The sequence below is a fragment of the Homo sapiens genome, chromosome X (genome assembly GCF_000001405.40).
Source record: "Homo sapiens chromosome X, GRCh38.p14 Primary Assembly".
In the NCBI taxonomy this organism is placed as follows: Eukaryota; Metazoa; Chordata; class Mammalia; order Primates; family Hominidae; genus Homo; species Homo sapiens.
In genome coordinates, this window is record NC_000023.11 from 80,214,936 (window position 1) to 80,235,725 (window position 20,790).

Here is a 20,790-nt window from a genome sequence, read left to right on the forward strand (position 1 = left end):
GAGGAGCGTCTCTGCCTGGCCGCCCATCTTCTGGGATGTGAGGAGCCCCTCTGCCCGGCTGCCCAGTCTGGGAAGTGAGGAGCGCCTCTTCCTGGCCGCCATCCCGTCTAGGAAGTGAGGAGCATCTCTGCCCAGCCGCCCATTGTCTGAGATGTGGGGAGCGCCTCTGCCCCGCCGCCCTGTCTGGGATGTGAGGAGCATCTCCGCCCAGCAGCCGCCCCGTCCGGGAGGTGGGGGGCAGCCCCCACCCGGCCAGCTGCCCCGTCCGGGAGGGAGGTGGGGGGCAGCCCCCGACTGGCCAGCCACCCCGTCAGGGAGGGAGGTGGGGGGCACCTCTGCCCGGCCGCCCCTTCTGGGAAGTGAGGAGCCCCTCTGCCCGGCTGCCACCCCGTCTGGGAGGTGTACCCAACAGCTCATTGAGAACGGGCCATGATGAGGTTGGCGGTTTTGTCGAATAGAAAAGGGGGAAATGTGGGGAAAAGATAGAGAAATCAGATTGTTGCTCTGTCTGTGTAGAAAGAAGTAGACATAGGAGACTCCATTTTGTTCTGTACTAAGAAAAATTCTTCTGCCTTGGGATGCTGTTGATCTATGACCTTACCCCCAACCCGCTGCTCTCTGAAACATGTGCTGTGTCCACTCAGGGTTAAATGGATTAAGGGCGGTGCAAGATATGCTTTGTTAAACAGATGCTTGAAGGCAGCATGCTCGTTAAGAGTCATCACCACTCCCTAATCTCAAGTACCCAGGGACACAAACACTGCAGAAGGCCCCAGGGTCCTTCTGCCTAGGAAAACCAGAGACCTTTGTTCACTTGTTTATCTGCTGACCTTCCCTCCACTATTGTCCTATGACCCTGCCAAATCCCCCTCTGCGAGAAACACTCAAGAATGATCAATAAAAAATATACATATATATATATATATAAGTTATTTATTTATTGCATGGATATACATATTATTTACTCATTTAACAGTTTATGGGCATTTGAATTTTCCTATTTTTGACTATGAAGAATAATGAGGCTTTAAACATTCATACACAAGTTTTGTGTTGGCATATGTTTTCTTTTTAAATTTCTGTTTTTCAATTCTCAGATATATACCTATGCTGGAATTACTGAGTCATATGGTAACTCTGTTGTTAACCTGCTGAGGAATGGCCAGGCTATTTTCCAAAGTGACTTTGCAATTTTATATTCTTACCAGCAGTGCATGAGGGATCCAATTTATTCATTTTCTGTCTGCTATTATTTATCTTTTAATTACATCTGTCCTAGTTGTAGAGTTTTATGTCATTGAGGTTTTGATTTGTAATTCCATGATGACTAATAGATGACTAATATTGTTGGGCAACTGATATGGTTTGAATCGTGTCACTGCAAAATCTAATGTTGAAATGGAATCCCCAGTGTTGGAAGTGGAGCATGTTGGGAAGTGTGTGGATCATGGTGGTATATCTCTCATGAATGACTCAGCATCATCTCCTCAGTGATGAGTGAGTTCACAGGCAATCTGGTTTCAACGTGTCATTTCTCCCCACTCTTGCTCCTGCTTTTTCCATGTGATGTGACTGCTCCCATTTTGCCTTCTGCCATAAATAAAAGCTCCCTGAGGCCTACCCAGAAGCCAGCAGATATTAGCACCATGTTTACTGTACAGCCTGCAGAAACGTGAGCCAATTAAACTTCTTTTCTTGTAAATTACCCAGCCTCATATATTTCTTTATAACAATGCAAGAATGGCCTAGCACAGTAAATTGGTAGTGAGGAGGGGGGAATTGCTATAAAGATAACTGAAAATATGGAAGCAACTTTGCAACTGGGTAATGGGCACAGGTTGAAAGAGTTTGGAGGGCACAGAAGAACACAGGTAGACAAGGGAAAGTTTGGAACTCCTTAGAGACTGGTTAAATGCTTGTGACCAAAATACTACTAATAATATGGACAGTGAAGTCCAGGCTGATAAGGTCTCAGACAGAAATGACAAACTTATTAGAAGCTAGAGTGAAGGTAATTCTTGATATGCCCTAGCAAATAACTTAGCTGTATTGTATTCATGTCCTAGGGATCTGTGGAAATTTGATCTTGAGAGTGAGCACTCAATGTATTTGGTGGAAGAAATGTCAAAGCAGCAAAGCATTCAAGATGTGGCCTGGCTGCTTCTAACAACCTACACTAAGATGTGGAAGCAAAGAAATGACTTAAAGTTGGAATTTATATTTAAACTGGAAGCAGAGCATAAAAGTTTGAAAATTTGCCATCTGGCCATGTGGTAGAAAAAAGAAGCCTATTTTCCAAGGAAACATAAAAGCAGGCTGTGGAGAAACAATGTGCTTGAGAAATTTGCATAAATAAAAAGGAGCCAAGTGCTAATAGTCAAGACAATGAGAAAAAAACCTTGAAGAATTTTCAGAACTTTGTGGTGGCTCCTCCCATCAAAGGCTCAGAGGCTTAGAAGGAGAGAATAGTTTTGTAGGCCAGGACTAGGGCCTTGCTGCCCTGCAAAGCTTCAGGAAACTGCTCCCCACATCCTGGCCACTCCAGTTCCAGCCACATATCAAAGGGGCACAAATACCATTCAGACCACTGTTTCAGAGGGTGCAAGCCATAGTAAGCCTTGGCAGCATCCATGTGGTGTTTAGTCTGTTGGATAACAGAATGCAAGAGTGAAGGAAGCTTAGCAGCATTGGCTTGATTTCACCAGATGTATAAAAAAGCCTGAGTGCCCAAGCAGAAGCCTGCTACAGATGTGGAGCCCTCACAGAGAACCTCTACTAGGGTAGTGCAGAAGAGAAATGTGGAATTGGAGGTCCCCACTGGGTCAGTGCCTAATGCAGCTGTGAGAAGGGTGTCAACATCCTCCAAACCCTAGAATGGCAAATCCACCAGAAACTTGCACCTCACATCTGGAAAAGCTGCAGACATTTAATAAACTCTGAAAGCAGCCCTGGGGCAGAGTTGCTGAAGGCCTTGGGAGCCCACGTTTTGCACCAGTGTACCCTTTGTGGTTTTGATTTGTAATATAGTCAAAAGAGATTATTTTGGAGTTTAAAGATTTAATTACTTTCCTGCTGGGTTTTGAACTTTTGTGAAGCCTGTAGCCCCTTTCTCTTGACTAATTTCTCCCTTTTGGATGGGGAACGTTTAACCAATGCATATACCCCCATTGCATCTTGGAAATAAGTAACATATTTTCAATGTTACAGGCTCATAGGCAGAATAAAATGAGTCTCAGATAACACTTAAAACTTTGGACTTGGTGCTTGAATGAGTTCAGACTTTTAGGGGAGTGTTGGGAAGAGATCTCTATATTTTGCAATGTGAGAAGAACATGAGATTTTGGTGGCCAAGGATAGAATCATATGGTTTGGATTTGTGCCCCTGCCAAATCTCATATTAAAATGTAATCCTCAGTGTTGAAGGTGGGACCTGGTAGGAGGTGTTTGGAACATGGGGGCATATCCTGTATGAATGGCTCAGCATCATCCCCTGGGTTATAAGTCTGTTCACCCAAGATCTCATTGTTTAAAGGTGTGGCAACTCCCTTGCACCCTTCCTCCTGTTTTCAACATGTGATGTGCCTGCTCCTGCTTCACCTTTTTTCATGAGTAAAAGCTCCCTGAGGTTTACCCAAAAATCAAGCAGATGCTGGTGTTGTGTTTCCTGCATAGCCTGTGAACTGTGAGCCAATTAAACATCTTTTTTAAAATAAGTCACTCAAATAAAATAAAATAAATCATGCACTCTTTGATATTTCTTTATAGCAATGCAAGAAGAGGTGAACACAGCATTCTTTTACATATTTATTGTACTTTTGTATATTTCAAATTATATATATGTATATATATACATGTATGTATAAATGTTTAGAGTCTTTTGGAAAAATGTCTATTGATACTTTGCCTATTTTTATTTTCATTCGTTAATAAAATTTTAACTTTTATTTTAGACTCAGGGGACACATATGGAGGTTTGTTACCTGGGTATATTGTGTAATGCAGAGGTTTGGGATACAATTTTTTCTGTTACCCAAGTCCTGCACATAGTACCCAGTAGTTTTTTTAACATTTGTCTGCCTCCATCTCTACCTCACAGTAGTCATCAGTGTCTATTGTTGCCATCTTTATTTCCCTGAGTTTCCTTTGTTTAGCTCCCACTTATCACTGAGAACACGAAGTATTTGGTTTTCTGTTCTTGCATTAATTCACTTAGACTTATAATATCCAGCTGCATCTGTGTTGCTGCAAATGACATGATTTCATTCTTTTTTATGACTGTGTAGTATTCTTTCTTAGTATGTTTCCGTTTTTAAAATTTTTTCTACATCCATTATAGGTTTCTGCTTTGTGGCCACCATGAGTCTTGCAAATAACATCTTGTGGCCAATTATTTTGAATTGATGATAACTCAATCACAAAGAAAAAAAAAAAACTAAGAAAATGTAAAATATCCCACTTTGCCCTCCCCAATTCTTGACTTCTGTTGTTCCATTTATGTCATTTTTATTGTCTCTCTATTAACACATTATTGTAGTTATTTTTCATAGATTTATCTGTTAGTGTTTCTACTAAAGATATGAGTGGTTTATACAAAACATTTGCAGTCTTAGAGTATTCTTGCCTGTGTGCTTACTTTTGCTAACATGTTTTATACTTTTAGATTATTTCTAGTTGATCATTAGTATTATTTTCTTTCATAATAAGTAACTCACTTTAGGATTTCTTGTAAGAGAGGCCTGGTGTTCATGAAATCTCTCAGCTTTTGTTTGTCTGGGAAAGTATTTCTTCTTCATGTTTGAATAATTTTGCTTATTCTAGGTTGAAATTTTTTTTCCTTCTGTATCTTGGAATGCCATCCCACTCCCTCTGACCTGTAAGGTTTTCACTGAGAAGTCTCCTGAAAGACATGTTTGAGCTCTTTGTTATGTTTTCTTTTTCTTCTTCCCTCTTGTCACTTTTAGAATTTTGTTTGTCCTTGACATTTGTGAATGTAATTAGTAAATGCATTGAGGTAGTCTTATTTGGGTTAAATCTGCTTATTGTTCTTGATCTCATTGTACCTGCAGATTCATATCTTTCCCTAGGTTTGGAAAGTTTATTATTATTTATTTGAATAAACTTTCTAATCCCATATTTTCTCTACATCTTCTTTAAGGCCAACAACTTTTTGATTTGTCCTTTGAAGTCTAAAATCTAGATCTTATAAGTGCACTTTGTTCTTTTTTATTATTTTCTCATTCTCCTTTGACTCTGTATTTAAATATAGCCCATCTTCAAGATCACTAAATCTTTCCGCTTGATCAATTTTGTTGTTGAGACTGTCCATTTTTTAAAACTTTGTCAATTGAATTTTTCAGCTCCCAAGTTTCTGCTTGTTTTTTAAATCTGTTTGTTAAATTTCTCTAATAGAATTCTGAATTTATTCCCTTTGTTATTTAGAATTTTGTTGAGCTTCCCTAAACCAGCTATTTTGAATTCCCTCTGAGTGGTTACATATCTATCACTGTAGGATTGGTTGCTGATGGTTTATTGATTCCATATGGTGAGGTAATGTTTTCCTGCATGTTTTTGATGCTTGCACATGTCAGTTGATGTCTGGGCTTTGAAGAGTTATTGATTTGGTTTGGCTCTGTGTCCCAATCCAAATCTCATGTCAAATTGTAATCCCTACATGTCAGGGGAGGGACGTGGTGGGAGGTGATTGGATCATGGGGGCAGATTTCCCCAATGCTGTTCTAATTATAGTGAGTTCTCAACAGATCTGATGGTTTAGAAGTGTGGTACTTCCCCCCCACCCCACACTCTCTCTCTCTCTCTCTCTCTCTTTTGCCACCATATAAGTTGTGCCTTGCTTCCCTTTCACCTTCCACCATGAATGTAAATTTCCTGAGGCCTCCCTAGTCATGCAGAATTCTGAGTCAATTAAACCTTTTTTCTTTATAAATTAAACAGTCTCAGGTATTTCTTCATAGCAGTGTGAAAATGGACTAATACAAAAAATTGGTACCAGGAGTAGGGCACTCTTACAACAATAACAGAAAATGTGGAAGCAACTTTGGAACTGGGTAACAGGCAGAGGGTGAAACATTTTGGAAAGCTCAGAAAAAGACAAGATGTGGGAAAGTTTGGAACTTCCTAGAAACTTGTGGAATGCTTTGCACAAAAATACTGTTAGTGATATGGACAATGAAGTCCAGGCTGAGATGGTGTCTGATGGAGATGAGAAACTTATTGGGAACTGGAGCAAAGGCCACTTTTATCATGCTTTAGCAGAGAGACTGGTGCTATTGTGTCCCTGCTCTAGGGATCTGTGCAACTTTGAACTTGAGAGAGATGATTTACAATATCTGGTAGAAGAAACTTCTAGGCAGCAAAACATTAAAGAAGTCACCTTGCTGCTCCTAACAGCATACAGTCATATGGGTTCACAAAAGAGATGGTCTGAAATTGGAACTTATGATTAGAAGAGAATCAGAGCATTTCTGTAGTGATCAGTGATGTTGAGTTTTTTTTTTTACATATTCTTTTTGGCCACATAAATGTCTTCTTTTGAGAAGTGTCTAGGATTGTTTGTTTCTTGTAAATTTGTTTAAGTGCCTTGTAGATTCTGGATATTTGGCCTTTGTCAGATGGAGAGATTGCAAAAATTTCCTCCCATTCTGTAGGTTGTCTGTTTGCTCTGATGATTGTTTTGTTGTGCAGAAGCATTTTAGTTTAATTAGATACCATCTCACACCAGTCAGAATGGCAATTATTAAAAATTCAAGAAACAATGGATGCTGGAGAGGCTGTGGAGAAAAAGAAATGCTTTTACACTGTTGGTGGGAATGTAAATTAGTTCAATCATTGTGGAAGACAGTGGGGTGATTCCTCAAAGACCTAGAACCAGAAATACCATTTGACCCAGCAATCCCATTATTAGGTATATACACAAAGGAATATAAATCATGCTATTGTAAAGATACATGCACACATATGTGCATTGCAGCACTATTCCAAATAGCAAAGATATGGAATCAACCCAAATGCCCATCAATGATAGACTGGATAAGAAAATGTGGTACATATACACCATGAAATATTATGCAGTCATAAAAAGGAACAAGATGTTGTCATTTGCAGGGACATGGATAGAGCCAGAAGCCATTATCCTCAGCAAACTAACACAGGAACAGAAAACCAAACACCGAATGTTCTCACTTATAAGTAGGAGCTGAACAATGAGAACACATAGAAACAGGGAAGGGAACAACACTCATTGGGGCCTGTTCAGGAAGCAGGGGGAAGGAGAGCATCAGGATAGATAATGCATGTGGGGCTTAATACCTAGGTGTTGGGTTGATATGTGCAGCAAATCACCAAGGCCCACGTTTACCTGTGTAACAAACCTGCATGTCCTGCACATGTATTCCAGAACTTAAAATAATTAAAAAATAACAAATTTAATTTTTTTAATAATGAAAAATGAATCACAGCATAAAAGTTTGAAAATTTTGTACCTTGACTATGTGGTAGAAAAGAAAAAAAAACACATTTCTAGGGGCCTTGCCTAGTGGAGCTGTGAGTAAAGGGCCACCATATTCCAGAAGAAAGAATGTTAGATCCAATAACAGCTTGCACTGTGTGCTTGGAAAAGCCACAGGCACACAATGCCAGTCCTTGAGAGAAGCCATGGGACCTGAGCCCTGAAAAGCCACAGAGGCAGAGCTGCCCAAGGCCTTGGAAGCCCACCCCTTGCATCAGCATGCCTTGGAGGTGAGACATGGAGTAAAAGGAGATTATTTTGGAGATTTAAGATTTAATGACTGCCCTGCTGGGTTTCATACTTGCGTGGGGCATGTAACCCCTACGATTTGGCCAATTTATTCCATTTAGAATGGGATTATTTACCCAATGTCTGTGCCTTCATCGTATCTTGGAAGTAACTAACCTGTTTTTCTACTAATATTTTACAGGCTCATAGGCGGAAGGGACTTGTCTTGTCTCAGATGAGACTTTGGACTTGGACTTTTGAGTTAATGGTGGAATGAGTTAAGACTTTGGGGGACTACTGAAAATGCATGATTAATTTTGCAGTGGGAAAAGAACATGAGAATTGGGAAAAGCCAGAAGAGGAATGATATGGTTTGGCTCTGTGTCCCCATACAAATCTTATGTCAGACTGCAATCCCTACGTGTCAGGGCAGGGATATAGTGGCAGGTGGTTGGGTCAAGAGGGCAGATTTTCCCCATGTTCTCATGATAGCGAGTTCTCATGATATCTGATGGTTTGAAAGTGTGGCGCTTCCCCCCTTGCTCTCTCCTTCCACCACGTAAGACATGCCTTGCTTCCCCTTTGCCTTCCACCATGATTGTAAGTGTCCTAACACCTACCCAGCCATGTGTAACTGTGAGTCAATTAAACCTCCTTTCTTTATAAATTTCCCAGTCTCAGGTAGTTCTGTATAGTGGGTAAAAATGGACTAATACAGTTAGGTATTTATTTCAACCCTTTGCTTGTTTGTACTCATCCCTCCTGAGAGGACTTTCCAAATATTCAAATGGGATTGGGTGTTGTCACCTAAGCCTGTTGTAATTATAGCCATTTCAGCACTAGGGGACAACCTAAGCCCAGGAATGCTGTGACTCTTTCACATTCAGATACGTAGCCTTAGTGGTCTTGAAGATAATAATTCTGTCGATTTCCATGTAAAGTCCCTCCTTCCATTCCTCCCACTTTCTCCCAATTAGGAGTATCTCTCTATGCTGGGCTGTCTGGAGTTGGGTGAAGGGTGATGCAGGCACTTCCATGGCCTCCACAGGTGGCATTTCACTGTATTGCACCTGTAACCCATGGCCTTCCAGACCAGCACAGTACTGGGGCTCAGCCAAGGTCCACAGCCACTACTGCCTGATGGCTGGTGATGTTTATCCAAGGCCGGAAGACACTTTTTAGCAATATAGTGAATCTTGCCAGAACGGATTCTATCCCAGCAGGACATCAGATTCCCTTTTGGCCTGTGGTGGGTCTAGAAATACCATCCAACAGGGACTTCAGAAATCTCCCTGGTGCTTCTTCTTCTGTAGTTATGCTAATACCCAAGTTGCAAAACAGTGTCAACACCCAAGTTGCAAAATAATGTCCTCTGTGCTCTTCCCTCTCCTGCTCCAAAGCAGAAGTAGTCTCTTCCCTTGCTTTACTGCTTAAAGTTGGGTGAGGAGGTGATGCAGGCACTCCTATGGCCACTGCAGCTGGCATGACACTGGGTTACACCACAAGCCCACTGCTCTGAGATCACTGGAGCACCAGGGATTGCCCAAGGAGTGTAGACACTGTGGTCTGACTTCCACCCAAATTTATTTGTGTCTCAAGGATACTTTAGTCAGCTAGTGTTGAAGGTGGCTGGGATATAGGTTCATCCTGCTAAGATGGGAGATTCCTCCAGGCCCAAGGCTAGTGGAAGTGCTCCCTCTGTAGGCACCAGCTGAATTTTTCATAGTGCTGTCTTCCCCTGTGACATGGAGTTACTGACTTCCAATGCAAAGTTTTACCCTCATTTTACTTTTTCTCTCCAAGCACACAGATTCTCTCTGTGCTGTGCTACCTTGGGTTGGGTAGGGGTGTTATAGGCAATGCAAGGCTATCCTTTCTACCCTCTTCAATGCTGCTTCTCCTATCATTTGTTAAAACAAGATGATGTAATTTCTCATCTGGTTTTTGTTTTTGTTTCAGTTTTGCTGTTGTTTGTCTAGTTGTTTTTTTAATGAAGGGTCTTTTGCATGGATACTTGTACAATTTGGTGTTCCTGAGGGGAGATGATCACTGGAGTGTTCTATTTGGCCATCTTACTCCACATCCTCTCAGAAAAATAAATAAATAAAAAGTTAATGATATCACATTTTATTTATCTGTTCATCTGCTGATGGACAGGCTAATTCTGTATCTTGGCTATTGTGAATAATGCTGCAATGAACAGGAAAGTCTAGATATTTATTTGAAATATTGATTTCATTTCCTTTGGAAAAATAGCCAGTAGTGGGATTGGTGGATAACATGGTATTTTTATTTTTAATTTTTTAGGTAACCTCTATAATGTTTTCCAAAATGGCTACAAATTCCCACCAACAATGTGTAGTTTCTTTTCTCCACATCAGTTTCAACACTTTTTGTAATCATTCATCTTTATATATATATATATATATATATATATATATATCTTTATATATATATCATCTTTATATATATATCATAGCCATTGTAATGGACATGAGGTGATATTTCATTGTGGTTTTCATTTGTATTACAACATAAATTACAACATAGGCTGTACAAAAAGCATGGCATCAGCACCTGCTTTTGGTGAGGGCCTCACAGAAAGTTTCCAATCATGGTGGATGGGGAATAAGAGGCAGCATGTCACATGGCAAAAGAGAAAGCAAGGCAGAGAGGAGGAGATATCAGGTTCTTTTTTAACTGACAGGTCTCATGAGAACTAAGAGTGAGAACTCACTCGATCCCATGAGAATGACACGAAGCCATTCATAAGGCATCTGACCCATAATCCAAACAATTTCAACCATGCTCCACCTCCAACACTGGAAATCAAATTTCAATATGAGATTTGGAGGTGATGAATATCCAAATTAAGATATTTGGCCCATTTTCTAATCAGGTTGCTTTCTTCTTATTGAATCATATAAATTGCTTATATAGTTTGGACATTAACCCCTAACAAGATGTATGGTTTGCAAAGACTTTCTTTCATTCTGTAAGTTGTCTCTTCCCTCTGTTGTTTGTTTTCCTGTGCAAACACTTTTAGTTGGGTTTAATTACAGTTAATTTGCTGTTGTTGCCTGTGCTTTTGTAGTCACATCTAAAAAAAAAAATTCATTGCCAAGGCTAGTATCATGGATCTTTTCCTTATGTTTTCTTCTAGTAACTTCAAAGTTCTGATCCTCTGTTTAAGTCTTTAAACCATTTTGAGTTTATTGTTGTATATGGTGTAAGAGAAGGATCTAATTTCATTCTTCTGCATGCAGATATTTAGCTTCCTCAACATCACTTATTAAAAAGACCATCCTTTATGTTTTGTGGTCTTGGCAACTTTGTTGAAAACCAATTGACTGTAAATATGTGGATTTCTTTCTGGGCTCTCTATTTTGTTTTATTGGCCTATGTTCTATTTTTATGCCATTATCATTTTGTTTTCATTACTATAACTTTGTAGTATATTTTAATATCAGGTAGTGTGATATTTTAGTGTTTTTTTTCCTCAAGGCTGCTTTTCCTATCAGGATCTTTTGTTGTTCCATAAAACCTTTTTGATTATTTGTGAACATTTTTGTGAATTTTTATTAAAATTTGAATAGAGACTGCAGTAAAACTGTAGATTTCTTTGGGTAGTATGAAAATTTTAATCATATTAATTCTTCCAATTCATATTTATTGGAAATCTGCCCCCTTGACCCAACCACCTGCCACTATATCCCTGCCATGACACGTAGGGATTGCAGTTTGACATAAGATTTGTATGGGGACCCAGAACCAAACAATATCATTCCTCTTCTGGCTTTTCACAATTCTCATGTTCTTTTCCCACTGCAAAATTAATCATGCATTTTCAGTAGTCCCCCAAAGTCTTAACTCATTCCACCATTAACTCAAAAGTCCAAGTCCAAAGTCTCATCTGAGACAAGACAAGTCCCTTCCGCCTATGAGCCTGTAAAATATTAATAAAAAAACAAGTTAGTTACTTCCAAGATACAATGAAGGCACAGACATTGGGTAAATAATCCCATTCTAAATGGAATAAATTGGCCAAATTGTAGGGGTTACATGCCCCACGCAAGTATGAAACCCAGCAGGGCAGTCATTAAATCTTAAAGCTCCAAAATAATCTCCTTTTACTCCATGTCTCACCTCCAAGGCATGCTGATGCAAGGGGTGGGCTTCCAAGGCCTTGGGCAGCTCTGCCTCTGTGGCTTTTCAGGGCTCAGGTCCCATGGCTTCTCTCAAGGACTGGCATTTTCATTTTTATGTGTCTTAATTTCTTTCATCAGTGTTTTATAGGATTCAGTGCATAGGTCTTTCACTTTTATTAAACTTGTTGCTGAGTATTTCATTGTAACGTATTGCTGAGTATTTCATTGTAATGTATATATTAGAATGCCTTATAGAAGTGAGTAATATATATTTCATTTCTAGTTTTATTTTAGATTCATAGGGTACATGTGCAGGTTTGTTACATGCATACATTGCATAATGCTGAGGTCTGGGGTATAGATGATCTGATCACCCAGGTAGTGAGCACAGTATCCTATATGTAGTTTTTCCACACATGGCCTCCTCCCTTCCTCCCACTTCTAGTAGTCCCCAGTGTTTTTTGTTCCCATCTTTACATCCATGTGTACTCAATGCTTAGCTCACATTTATAAATGAAAACATGCATTATTTGGTTTCTGTTACTGTGTTAATTTATTTAGGATAAGCCCTGATCCAGTTTCTCTGTGTTTTTAATCATTTAAATTAAGCTTTAAAAAAATCTTCTCAGGTTGTGGTAAATTTGTGATGCCAATTTTCCCACCCAGTCTTGCCCCACTCTTCTAGCATTAGAGCTTGCAATCAGCTCTGGGAAGCTACAGGTGCCTCTAAGAATCTCCCAGGGTTGTGCATGGGGGTCTGAAACTAAAGAACCACACTATCAGTCTTTCTTTGTCCTTGCATAGACCTGAAATCTCCTCTTATCTGCATCATAACTTCCAAGCTTAGACGACCACATGCTAAACTGGGATACCTAGGAAGGCTCTAACCTTGCTTGTGCCTACCAAACTTTAACTTCATCTTCAAAACTCAGAGCCAATGTGCTATGGTAGAAAAATGACAAGCAATGACATAAAATGAGATTTGAGTGAACTGAGAGTGATATAACTCTACTGGAGGGGTGAAACAATATTGTAAATATACCAACACTCCTACCCCCAAATAAGCCATAATTTCAATGCTATGTCAACCAAAACCTCAATAAGCATTTTTTCTTAAAAAAACTAATTTTAAATTCATATGTTAGGGCAAATATATAGTAGCCAATTCATGTTTGGGAAAAAAGGCACATGGAGCAGAATCTGTTCTACTAGGTATTATGACATGTGATAGAACCATAAAAATTAAAACAGAGTGGTATCAGTTGAAGACTAAACAAATAACTCAACAGAATTATAGAGTTTGGAAACAGATTATATAATTAGTATATCACATAATTAGGATATATAATTAGTATTATGATTATATAAAAATATATTTAGCAATTAGTTTATTATATGAATATATAGTTAGTAAATAATAAAAATAGGTCTTCAGAGTAGGGGTGAATAAAGTATTTAATTGTTCACTTATTGGGACAATTGGTTGTTGATTTGGAAAAAATAAAATTAAAGCCATATCTCACATAATTCAGAAAATTCCTTTAGAAACAAAGTCTTCAAAATAAAAATCAAGATTATAATAGCATTAAATGAAAGTACATGATATATAATGTGGGTGTTAGGAAATACTCTTTTTAAAGAAAAAAACAAAATGCAAAAAATAATAAAGTTTATTATATCACTAGAAAGTAGGCAGAAGACATGAACAGACTTTTCACCAAATAATATATACATGTGATAATAATCACTTGGAAAGGTGTTCAATATGCGTAGCCATTAGGGAAATATAAATTAAAACTATGTTATCACTACATACCTATCAAAATGGCTAAAATAGACAACAGTGACAGTACAAAATGCAGGTGAGGATTCAGAAAAGCTAGATCATACATTGTTGTTGGGAATAGAAAATGCTACAGCCACTCTGGAAGAATATGACTGTTTCTTATAAAGTTAAAAATACACATCATATGGCCCAGTAATTTGCACTTTGGGGCATTTATTCCAGAAAAATTAAAACTTATTTTTACAACAAAAACCTGTACACACATGTTCATTGCAGCTTTATTTGTAATATCCCAAAACTGTCAATATTGCAGTTGCCTCTTAGAAGGTGAATGGTTAAACAAACTGGTGCATCTATACTGTGGAATACTATGCAGCAATAAAAATGAACAAATTATTGATACATGAAAAACTTTCAAAGATCTCAAGGATATCTTGTTTAGTGAAAGAGTCAATCTCAAAAGGTTAAACACTATATACTTTCATTTATATAACAATCTCAAAATGATAAAATTATATTCAATCCAGGGGACCTAGTACTGGTAAAGGCACTTCCCTTCCTTTCTCCCTCTCTAGGCCCAGATTGGGAGGGAAGATTGGGAAGTACACTGTACTTCTTTCCACTCCTACAGCAGGGAAGGTCACTGGAACAGATTCTTGGATTCATATACTCAAGTAAACACATGGGGAAGCTGACAGCATCACTTCCATCAACCCAGAAGAGCACCCAAAGTACCAATGTGAAAAAATCTGGGACCTCAAGCTAAAAATCACAAAAGATAAGTGTTAATAATTGACCTTCCATGGATATCCTCTTTATAGTCTTGCCTATGCTTGCTGTTCTTACCTTTGTTTTGTTCTTCACCATGAGGCACCTTTACCAAGGGTCCATTAATCCTGAACACGAACAGAAATACCTACTCCCCTCAACAGTTATCTCTTTTTTAAAGTTTAATTGCTCCCATACAATATTTAATTTCTTTCATCAGGGGCACAATATTATTTTCAGAATGATTAGTATATTTCACTTCTCATTTCTGTTATCTTTGACACTAGATTTGTTCCCTTTAACTCCTCTTTGTATAATACCCATATTTGATCCATGCATAGTTAGCCTTGTAAAATTTGTTTCTTCTTGCCTACAGGCCAACAAACTCCAGTCACGCAACCAGAGCCTCAGACAATGGCTCCCTTTTACTGAGGACCCTTAGATAGGCCTCTGAGAGAAATCTGATTGTCATTGCCCCTAAAACAATGCCCCTGTCAGCAGGAAGCAGCTAAGATCAGTCATCATCCCTGTTCTAACGGCAGTTACATGTACCTCTTCAGAGGGGGAAATGATAGAGGGAGGAGGCAGAGAAATCCTAAAACAGGGGCAGGTACCCAGTGAAATCCCATCTTCAAGCCAAAGACAGTTTAAACCCTAAAGGCCAAGTTACAAGTAAAATTCACAGACCAGGTTGCAAACCCGTCTTCCCATTTCGCATGCTTTCCTTTGATCCCCACCTTTCACCTATTTTACATATATCTACCCTTCCTTATTTATTTTTACACTGTGCCCACCTTTGACTGTATCAAATTTTTTGAGGGGTTTGGACATGAACAACTTGAATTTTTTCAAAATCTTTTTGCCCGTCTATTGAGATGATCATATGGTATTTGTTTTTAATTTTGTTTGTGTGGTGAATCACATTTATTGATTATAAATCACATTTATTGATTTATTGAACCAGCCTTGCAAATCCAACTTGGTTGTGGTGCATTAACTTTTTGATGTGCAGCTGGATTCAATTTACTAGTATTTTGTTGAGGATATTTGCACCTATATTCACGAAGAGTATTAGTCTGAAGTTTCCTTTTTCACTTTGTCTCTGCCAGATTTTGGTATTAGGCTGACATTGGCTTCACTGAATGAGTTAGGGAGCAGACACTCCTCCTCAATTTTTTGGAATAGTTTCAGAAGGATTACTACAAATTCTTCTTTGTTCACCGGTAGAATTCACCTGTGAATCCATCTTGTCCTGGGCTTTTTTTTTATTGGTAGTTTTTTATTTTAATTACTGATTTAATTTCAGAGCTCTATATTGATCTATTCAGGGTTTCAATATATTCCTGACTTAATTTTGGGAATTTGTGTTTTTCCAGGAATTTATCCATTTACTCTGGATTTGCTAATTTGCATGCACATAGTTGTGCATAGTATTCTGTGAGGATTGTGGTCTGAGTGTGTGCTTGTTATGATTTCAATTTTTTAATGTTTTGAGACTTCCCTTATGACTGGGCATGTGGTCAATCTTAGAATATGTTCCATATGCAGATGAGAAGATTATATATTCTATGGCTGTTGGGTGGAGTGTTGTGTAGATGTCTTTTTAATCCAATTGGTCAAGTTTCAAGTTTAAGGCCAGAATTTGTTAGTTTTCTCCCTTGATGTCCTGTCTAATGCTGTCAGTGTGGTGTTGAAGTCTCTCACTGTTATTCTGTGGTTGTTGAAGTCTTCGTAGGTCAAAAAGAACTGTTTTATGACTCTCAGTGCTCCAATGTCGGCTGAATATACATTTAGTATAGTTATGTCTTCTTCTTGTATTGTATGCTTTATCATTATACAATCTCCTTAATTTTTATTGGTTTAAAATCTGTTTATCTGATATAAAAATAGCAACACCTGCTCTTTTTAATTTGCATGGTAGATCTTTCTCCAACCGTTTACTTTGAGCCTGTGGGTGTTGCTAAATGAGATACGTGTCTTTTGAAGAGAGCAGATGGTTGGGTCTCATCTTTCTTCAGTTTGATCTATTCTGCTGTTAATACTTCCAATTTTATTATGAAATTCTTGTAGTGAGTTTTTCAGCTCTATCAGTTTGGTTCTTTGTTAAAACGGTTATTTTGTCTTTCGGCTCATCTCATTTTATTGGATTTTTTAGATTCCTTGGATTGAAATTTTAACTTTCTCCTGAAACTTCCTTGCCATATAAATTTTGAATTGTATGTCTGTCACTTCAGTCATTTCCAAAATGTTAAGGACCATTCTTGGGGAGCCAGTGGACTTGTTTATGGGTAGGGGGACACACTGGCTATTTGTTTTGCCAGAATTCTTGGGCTCGCTCTTTTTCAACTGGGAGGACTGACATTCCTTCAACTGTATTGTAATTTGATTATAGTCAGTTGGCTTTGTTTCTGGATGTTTTCAGAGGGCCAAGGCTCTGTGGTGGGCCTTTTTTGTGGCTGAAATATTGCCCTTGGTTTCACAGATGAGTATATTAGCAAAATATTTTTGGTGTTCTAGTTCGGGCTGCAATTCAGTAGATGGTGCTTAAGAGTAACAGTAAATAGGCTCTTATTACACCATGTGGCTCCTCTGTATTTCTTCATGCTTTCGGGTGTGCTCTTTGGTGTGGGGTGGAGAGAGGTGACTCCCTCACTAGGTCCACTCTTGTGTCTTGGAAGAACTCCCTACAATCACTGGCATGGCATACGCTTTTCTTTTGTTAGGCATTCTAGGCTGCAGGACTTCCATGGGCAGGGGCCATGACAGGGAGATAGGCCACACCTTTCCCAGGTGGAACCTGCAGATGGAGGCATGCTGTGTTTCTGCACAGTTCCTGAAGCTTTGACTCTAACCTCTTAGGGCTCTGAGAGTGTGGGTTCCTCTCCTGCTCGTGTGCTGGCCACAGATCACCATTTGGCACTCCTAAGCTGTGCACAGTAGCCCTGGGGTATGTTTAGGCTTCTTGTTCTCTACTCAGCTTGGGGGCAGCAGGGGTCGGGACCTCAGCAGCAGTGATGGCAGACGGGCTGTCATTTGTCTCTGGGAGCTAGCTATATGACAGAGAAACACAGAGCCACTGCAAATTGGAATGATCAGCTGGGGGTGACACTTCTTTGCTGCAGGCCAAAGCCAGAGGGCCCTGCCTGGTGAAGAGATGGGGTTGGGGGGTGGCTGATGGGAGCACAGTCTGACCTCCTCTCTATAGGGTGGCTGTAGCATGCTGGAGGTGCAAGTAAAGTACTCAAGCTCTTTGTGACTCTTCCACCCTGGGGGCAGCAAGGGTGGGTACTGTGGAAGGCAGGAGCAGAGGGACTATCAGTTGCTTCTGGGAACTCCACCTCAGAGAAACAGAGCTACTGCCAATGGAATGTTCATCCAGGGGTTGTTACCAGTGGCAAATCTGTACAGGTCTGCAGCAACCTCTACTGTTGACTCCCCAGAAGGCTTTTGACTGAGGGGCATAAGGCAGAGTGAAAAACCAAAGCAAGTTGAAAGCAGGCCTAAAAGTATGTTAAAAAGCATTAGAGCAGGAAAGAAAGAAAGTGAAATACTCTTGTAAGAGGAACAAGCGGGTACTTCACAGATAAGTGCACAGTTTGACCTTTTGACTTGGAGTTTTTTATATGTTGGTAGGCTTCAGGGGTCTTGTGTCCCTTCTCTGATTCTTCCCTTGTGGTGGGCTGTCCACATGTGCAGTGACCTGCTAGCACTTGGGAAAGGCCACAGGCACAGTGAGTTTACTGGAGTTGTATGCATGCTCTCTTGAGGAGTTCTTCCCTTACCAGTCAAATGTCCCTAGAAGGTCATATACCAGTTAAACTCCAACATTTTGCCTCTTGGTGCACATGCCTGAGCCCACTCGCCTGGCTCCTGAGATCTCATCAGGAAGCTGATCACCAGTTTCAGTATTTTCCTATTGGGCGACCGCCTTTCCCTTGCACACGCTGTGACCAATTATTACTTTAGAGAGACACTTAAAAACCACCTGACATTCCTGGTGTGTGTGTGGTGAGGGAGAGACCTCTCCTGCTCTGCTCATGTCTGACTAGCTACTTACTGTACCATGTCCCCTCTCAACAATCCAAGACCCCAATTCTTTGGGGAAAGTTGATGTAAGTCAGTCTTCTGTAATTGTTTCCTGCTGACAGAAGTTAGCTGTCAGAGCAGGGTGGCTCCATGGATTGGTGAAAGTCGTAGCCACCCAGGCCCAAGGAAGACAGTGGCAAGATTTTGCCTCTGTCATGTTCCACTGATGGGCAGTCTAGGGGTCCCCTCTAGAAGTGTGACTCTAGTATTGAGAGGACAGTATCCATCACTGAGCATCTTTTGGAGCTTGATGGCCTGAACGCAAGAAAAGACAAATCAGGTTAGTAGATTGAGAAGAATGTCAAAACAAAATAAGGGGGAGATGACACCTCCAAAAAATCCCGAGGCTGCCGACATGCCCCGGTAGTTGGTGGCTATATTCATGCCTGCTAAGACGTGGGTGCATGGGGTTGCTAGCCAATTATTCTATTGCCCAGAATTAGAACATTGATTCAGGTTTTTGCATGACCCATCCCTCTTGTTTCTTCTGAGTTGTAGCCAGAGTTCACCAGTTAGTTCACAGGAATAAGCAGGGTTAGTCTGAATTGCAGACAAAAACTCAAAAACAACTGATGAGACTAGAATCTAATAATAAGTATACCATAGTTCTTGAAACATGATTTTTATCTTTCCAGTCCTCCTTTGTTTAAAAAATATCATGATAGGATTGATTAGTTTGCAGAATAAACTTGTCTTATTATACTTGGCCTGATTATTTGCATAAACAACAGCAAGAATAATTATTTGCCATATAGGCTCCCTTTTAAATTGTCTTTGATGGAACTTCATTTCATGAGGAATCAGATAAGACTTTTTTGAAGACTTAATCCCAGCCATGGGTTAGTGTCATCAATTACCTATATGAGTTGGGGAAATTCCTCTCCTCTTGAGGTCCCAAGATAACTTGGGGCTCCTTGGCCTACTGGAAAATAACATTCTTTACTTACCAGAGGTCAAGAGCTGTGTACAGAGACTATTTAGACAAGGTATGAGGCCAGTTTTCCCAAGGTGTATTTATTGGCTTTATAAGTCAAAGTTGATTCCTTAAAGCAACCTGAAACTATGCCATTCCAGTCAAAGCCTTGGTAAAATAACCAGTTTCTCCAGTTGTGTCCTGTGTAAAAGAAAATAGATTCTTACTGCACTAAGGCAAGTAACTATATTGCCATAAGTTGAGAATACTTACAAGTAGTATCTAAATTCTGGAGAGATCAAGTAAAGAGAAAACAATATGCTCTAAGTTTTGTTTACAGGGACATACTTTACTCAATTGTTAAAAGCTGTAAGGATTATTTAGTCTTTTATTAGTTTACTCCATGAAGTTAACTCCTGTTCTGCTTGATATTCATAAACATTTCAGCTTTCCACGAGAGTTCTGAAAGTTTTTCCTCTATTCTAATGTCACAATCTCCGAAGTTATCAAAAACCTGCATTTAAGAGCACCTGTTACGAGTTTTATAGTTGATTTTAAAAAACCACCTTTTAAATAGAATTAAAACAACAACTGTCTATGGATAACAAAAAGTCTTAGGGCACCCATAGTCAAAGATACAACTAAGAAGGATATTTGTTACCTCTATGGCATAATAATATAACAATTATAATTATTACTGATAACTTATATTGTTATATCAGAATTATAGGAGTTTCACATAATTTTGGAACACATACCAACAACACATTTATAAAGAGTAGATTAATGCTTTAATAAAACTCTGTTGTGCTTTTATTCCAGTGTTTAATTTATGGAAAAACTGAATAATACTCCTTTAACTTTAGGCAATATGTTTACATACAGATTTTATTTTACAAGATTAATCTTTCAAAAAACTTTCACAACTTGCTTAAATATTCAACTTTATCCTATCTAACTTAAAATAATCATTTAACCCTCTAAACCAGGCATGTACAGCTGTTTTTCCAGCAATCTCAAGTACATGTTACACTGTTAACTCTTAGCAACTTTTACTTTTGGTGAAAAACTTGATAAATAAGTGATTCTAATTATGTACTAGGTTTGGAGCCTAGGACACCAGACAGAAGTGCAGATAAGGTTTGATTCCAGTATAGCTAGAGGCATGGCTAACTCTGTGTGTCCCCATTCGTTACCTAGGTTTAAAGCAGGCAATTTGTACAGTTAAGTAATAGTAGCAGTTTATGGAGCATTTAGTAGACCAAATACCCTTTAAAATTGTACATTTTTATAACTTCTGTTTCATGATTTTTTTCATAACTTACACAGACCACCT

The 20,790-nt window shown here is 39.2% G+C and overlaps 1 pseudogene across 1 annotated transcript in view, besides 1 other annotated feature; it reads right to left on the minus strand.

Moving 5' to 3' along the window:
- Positions 1,141 to 2,340: an enhancer, noted in NCBI's record as "P300/CBP strongly-dependent group 1 enhancer chrX:79471575-79472774 (GRCh37/hg19 assembly coordinates)". NCBI's record gives its function as "activates an origin of replication core promoter dependent on BRD2, BRD4, P300/CBP, MED14 and CDK7 cofactors, with strong dependence on P300/CBP, by STARR-seq in HCT116 cells {active_cell/tissue: HCT116}" and the evidence as "EXISTENCE:reporter gene assay evidence [ECO:0000049][PMID:35650434]".
- Positions 13,554 to 20,790, minus strand: part of CHMP1B2P (charged multivesicular body protein 1B2, pseudogene) — a 106,830-nt pseudogene continuing 99,593 nt past the window's right edge. Inside the window, exon 6 of the transcript NR_110646.1 lies at positions 13,554 to 19,655. The product of NR_110646.1 is annotated as a charged multivesicular body protein 1B2, pseudogene (transcript). The remainder of the gene's footprint in view (positions 19,656 to 20,790) is intronic.